Source organism: Homo sapiens, chromosome 17, assembly GCF_000001405.40.
Source record: "Homo sapiens chromosome 17, GRCh38.p14 Primary Assembly".
In the NCBI taxonomy this organism is placed as follows: Eukaryota; Metazoa; Chordata; class Mammalia; order Primates; family Hominidae; genus Homo; species Homo sapiens.
The window spans coordinates 4752388-4758387 of NC_000017.11; positions in this window are offsets into that span (position 1 = coordinate 4752388).

Below are 6000 nucleotides of genomic sequence, written 5' to 3' on the forward strand. Positions count from 1 at the left end.
CCGGGTTCAAGAGATTCTCGTGCCTCAGCCTCCCAAGTAACTGGGGCTACAGGCACACACCACCACACCAGGCTAATTTTTGTATTTTTAGTAGAGATGGGGTTTCACCATGTTGTCCAGGCTGGTCTCGAACTCCTGACCTCAGGTGATCTGCCTGCTTCAGCCTCCCAAAGTGGAAGGATTACGGGCGTGAGCCACTGCGACCGGCCTCTCTCTGTCTCTTTGAAACAGGGTCTCACTCTGTTGCCCAGGCTGCAGTGCAGTGATGCAGTCTTGGCTCACTGCCACCCCAACCTCCCGGACTCAGGTAATTCTCCTCCTTAGCCTCCCAAGTAACTGGGACTACAGGTGCGCACCACCACACCCAGCTAATTTTTTGTATTTTTAGTAGAGACAGGGTTTTGCTATGTTGCTCAGGCTGGTCTCAAACTCCTGGCCTCAAGCAATCCTCCTGCCTCAGCCTCCCAATGTGCTGGGATTATAGGCACCAGCTGCCTCGCCCAGCTGGAGCCAGTCTCTCTTATACCAGGCATTGATGATTGGCCATGCAAAGAATCAGAAACACTCTGTCAAGTTTTCTTTGAAATACATGAAGGAACTTAAGGGAGACCCACAGGGCTCCAAGAGCTTCAGGTAAGATCACTACTGCCCACTTCACCACTATAATGGGAGATGGAATAGAACATGATAAAGTTTGCCGGGCACAGTGGCTTACGCCTGTAATCCCAGCACTTTGGGAGGCCAAGGTGGGTGGATTGCCTGAGGTCAGGAGTTCGAGACCAGCGTGACCAATATGGTGAAACCCTGTCTCTACTAAAAATACAAAAATTAGCTGGACATGGTGGTGCATGCCTGTAATCCCAGCTACTCAGGAGGCTGATGAGGCAGGAGAATCACTTGAACCTGGGAGGCGGAGGTTTCAGTGAGCCGAGATTGTGCCACTGCACTCCAGCCTGGGAGACAGAGTGAGACTCCGTCTCAAAAAAAAAAAAAGATAAAGTTTGAGGCTTAGGGGTCCACATCACCTGAGTTTAAATCAAGGCTCCCAAGTTAACTTCACACACTGGATAAGTGACTCAAGCTCTCCGTGTCTGTCTCCTCACCTGTAAAATGGGGTATTAACTGTACTTATTCCACAGAACTTGTGAGACCAAAGGCAATTAATAAATTAATAAATGCAAATAAATAATTTGCATTTAAATTATGCAAATAAATAATTAATAATTAATAAATGCAAATTCTTAGAAGAGTTCTCAGCATGATAAGTATTTAATAAATGGTATAAGTTGTTGTGTTATTACTATTGCAAAATAAGAGGTCAACCCTAAGCCATGGACTGCAACTACAACTACTTCCCACCTTCTGCAAAAAGAACATCATGCTTTACCTCCCTGTTAGTTGTGGGCACCCCAGAAGTCCACAGTGGCCAGGGCAGGCATCTTCACCCAGACTTACCCCAAAGGACTCCGTTCATCTCCATTTGGGTTCACTCTCCTTTCTCCTCTCCACCCTGCCCCAAATCCTTTCATTGCACCCTTGGAAACCTAAAGTATGTTCGCAAAACAAAATCCCCAAATCATCAAGCTCTTCTCTCAGTTTTGTTTGCCTTCTTGCTCTCATAGGAACCTGGCTCTTCCCGCAAAGACATTGCTCCCTTGCAACGCTCCAAGGAGGCAGCTATTTCCTTTTTCTCCCACCCTCCACATACCTGCAGTGAGGCAGCTGTCCCTTCCAAAACATTTCTCCTCTCTCCAAAACAAAACAAAGGCATCTGTTGTTTTAAATTTTTTTATTTTTAATTTTTCTGGGTTCATAGTAGGTATATATATTTATGGGGTACAAGAGATGTTTTGGTACAAGAATGTAATGTGTAATAATCACATCATAAAAGCATTTATCCCCCTTAAGCATTTATCCTTTGTGTTACAAACAATCCAATTATACTTTTAGTTATTTTTAAATATACAATTAAATTATTATTGACTGTAGTCACTCTGTTGTGCTATCAAATACTAGACATTATTCAAACTATTTTTTGTACCCATTAACCATCCCTACCGCCCCCACAACCCCCCTCTCCTCCCTGCCCCTACCCCACACACACACTACCCTTCCCAGCCTCTGGTAACCACCCTTCTACTCCCTATCTCCGTGGGTTCAATTGTTTTGATTTTTAGACCCCACAAATAAGTGAGAACATGTGATGTTTGTCTTTCTTTTTTTCTTTTTAATTTTAATTTTTTTTTAGAGGGAGTCTCACTCTGTTGCCCAGGCCGGAGTGCAGTGGCGTGATTTCGGCTCACTGCAACCTCCCCCTCCTGGGTTCAAGCAATTCTCCTTCCTCAGCCTCTTGAGTAGCTGAGATTACAGGTGCCTGCCACCACACCCAGCTAATTTTTGTATTTTAGTAGAGACGGGTTTTCACCATGCTGGTCAGGCTGGTCTCAAACTCCTGACCTCAAATGATCCAACTGCCTCAACCTGCCAAAGTGCTGGGATTACAGGCGTGAGCAACCACACCAGTGTGATATTTGTCTTCCTGTGCCAAAGCGTCTTTAAAGCACATGCCAACACACTGTAGCATCCGTTACCCCTCCTTGTTGCAATCATCTTCCAACATCTACCAGCTTCATCAAAGGCTTAAGCATTTGCCTTAAATTTACGTCTCCACCATTAATCACGTCTCCATTTGTGTGGACTCAGACATCCACCTAGGCAATCCAACCATCCCCGCCACCCCGCTTCAGTTCCTTGTCCTCTGCACTTCGGTACAATTTTTTCCTCCACCCCACCTCAGCCACGCACTCCCACAGCAAACCGTAGACTCTGTGATGATCAGTAACTGCCCCATTTCAACCTCCTGAGGACAGGCATCCCGCCACTATCCACCTTTTCATCCCCTTCTCTGGTACCCTCACACCAACAATCCTTCACCCCTCAGGCTCTGTAGTCCATGTACCATTCCACATTTCCACTGTCTGTCACCTTCCTCCTGTCGTCACATCTCCCCTTACTCAGTTTTTTTGTTTGTTTTGTTTCTTTGAGACAAGGTCGAGCAGCTGAGACTATAGGCACACGCCACTGCGCCTGGCTAATTTTTGTATTTTTAGTAGAGACGAGGTTTCACCATGTTGTCCAGGCTGGTCTTAAACTCCTGAGCTAAGGTGATCCACCCGCCTTGGCCTCCCAAAGTGCTGGGATTCCAGGCGTGAGCCACCACGCCTGGCTGGTTTACTTGTCTATTGCCTACCTCTCCCACCTGAATCCCCAGTATGTGGAACAATGCCCGGTATCAAGTGAGTACTCCATATACATCTTTCTGGTGTGAAAGAAAGAAAAGGAGAGAGGGAAGAGAGAAAGAAGTAACAAACAAGTAAGCAAAAAGCCTCAGAAAAATGGTTTTGATGGCCGGATGAGGTGGCTCACACCTGTAATCCTAGCACTTTGGGAGGCAGAGGCAGGCGGATCCCCTGAGGTCAGGAGTTCGAGACCAGCCTGACCAACATGGAGAAACCCTGTCTCCACTAAAAATATAAAATTAGGTAGGCATGGTGGTGCATGCCTGTAATCCCAGCTACTCAGGAGACTGAGGCAGGAGAATCGCTTGAATCCCTGAGGCAGAGGCTGCAGTGAGCCGAGATCGCACCATTGCACTCTAGCTTGGGCAACAAGAGAGAAACTCCGTCTCAAAAAAAAAAAAAAAAAAAGGTTTTGGTTAAAGCCATCTTAAATCATTAGCTCTTCCTGTCTGCATGTTTCAACAACCACGTTGATCGAGTAGCATCGCAGTTACAAGCACAGAACTAAGCAGAGGCCTCCTAAGTGTAAGCCCCAGCTTGACTAACTTCTGCTGTGTAGTCTTAGGCAAGTCACTTTATTTAAAAAAAAAAAAAAAAAAAGGTCGGGTGTGGTGGCCTTTTTTTGTCTCTTAAAAAAAAAAAAATACAGAGGTCTCCCTATGTTGCCCAGGCTGGTCTTGAACTCCTTAGCTCAAGGGATCCTCCCCGTCTGTGCTTCCCAAAGTGCTGGGATTACAGGTGCGAGCCACCACACCTGGCCAGGCAACTTACTTTCACTCGGAGCTACATCCACTCATTCAGCAAATACTTACTGAGTGCCTACTCAGCTGCAGGGTGCTACCCTAGGTTAGTTGTGAGGATTATATACAACAAAGTATGAGAAGCCCCTAACACCAAGCTTAGTTCATTATCAAATAATAACATGGCTGGGCGCAGTGGCTCATGCCTGTAAACCCAGCATGTTGGGAGGCTGTGGCAGGAGGATTGCTTGAGGCCAGGAGTTCAAGACCAGTCTGGGCAACATAGCGAGATGCTGTCTCTTAAAAAACAACAACAGCAACACACTCCTAAAAATCTGTTATTATTTGTGCCCCATAGTGTGACCTTGGCTCACTGCAGCCTCAACCTCCTAGGCTCAAGCAATACTCCTGCCTCAGCCTTCCGAGTAGCTGGGACTACAGGTGTGTGTCACCATGCCAGGCTAATTTAAGTAAAAATTTTTTGGAGAGACAGGGATCTCACTGCGTTGCCCAAGCTGGTCTTGAACTCCTGGCCTCAAGCAACCCTTCTGCCTTGGCCTCCCAAAATTCTGGGATTACAGGCATCAGCTACCAAGCCTCATCTCATTGTCTGTTTATAATCATCTGTACTTGCAATTTGAATATTCTCACTGATTAGAACTATTTTGGGATTTTTTAAGAGGTCGCTGTTACTTAAACATTTAGAAATTTCTGGTTTATTGCATTATGGTCTGGGTATCAGTCCAGTACAATTTCAAGTTTGGGGAATTTCATATCTCCTTCACGGCCTAATATTTGACCAAGATTTGTAAATGTTTTATTGGCATTGAAAAAGGTAGGTTCTCCATTTATGAGATACAAAGTCAAGTAAATAGCACTTGAATACATGCTCCAGGAGGATGGAGGCTCAGGATGTTCACCGATGATGTATTTATGGCTGATATCTTCCTGGTATCCAGCAAAGGGCCTGGCACATATCATTTAGTAAATATTTGTTGAATGAGAGGCTAACTAATCAATCAACTTTATCATTGAGATTCTCTGTTTCTTTATACGTTTGTATATTTTTCTTACTTTGTCGAAGAGAATTATATTACAGTTTCCCACTACTATTATATTTCTGACAGTCTCCCTCGGCATTTCTAACTATTTGGGGTTTTTTTTCTTTTCTTTTTTTTTTTTTTTTTTTTTGAGACTGAGTGCCCTTTCTCATAAAACACCAACCACTTCCTCTATGGAAATAAATTTATTCCCAGTACCTTCTTGGGTCTTGCAAATATTACAGCCAAATGCATTTTTTTTTTTCTGGCATGTCAGTGTCTGCTCACTGTAGAGGAGGGTGAACAAGTTCTGGTCTCCTGATCTCCAGGAGTCTGAGCTAGGAGAAGGAAGAAGAGAGAAATGTCAAAGGGCTATATTTGCAGGGTTTCTATGGAAAAATCTGATTTCAAACAATCTTCATCATCTGAGATGGTTTCCCTTCTAATGACTCCATCTGGTCCTCACGTCGATCTTAGTTCTCAGGAGCTGATAACTCTGGCCTTGCCTTGCTCAGAGAGCATTCAACCCCCACTCCTCCCCAGGTCACATTGCCAAACACCTTCAGTGGCAATTCATGGGTCCTCAGAAAAGCATCACTCTCATTCCTGGTCTCCCTCCCTCCACTGCTCTCCTCTACAATCCCACCTCAGGTGATCCTCCCGCCTCGGCCTCCCAAAGTGCTGGCATTATAGGCATGAGCCACCGTGCCTAGCCCGGAATCTGCTTTTAACACCATCTTCAGGAAATCTGTATGAAGTTACGGTTTGAGAAGTACTGAACTAAGCAGACAGCCAAGTAAGAGCCCCTCCTGTCCAGGTCTAAGGGTAGTTCCGATTCCCTGACCAGCAAATCTTGAGTAGCTGCCTCCCAGTAGCTGCCTCCCAGTCACTCTCTACCACACCACCCTATTTCCTTCATGT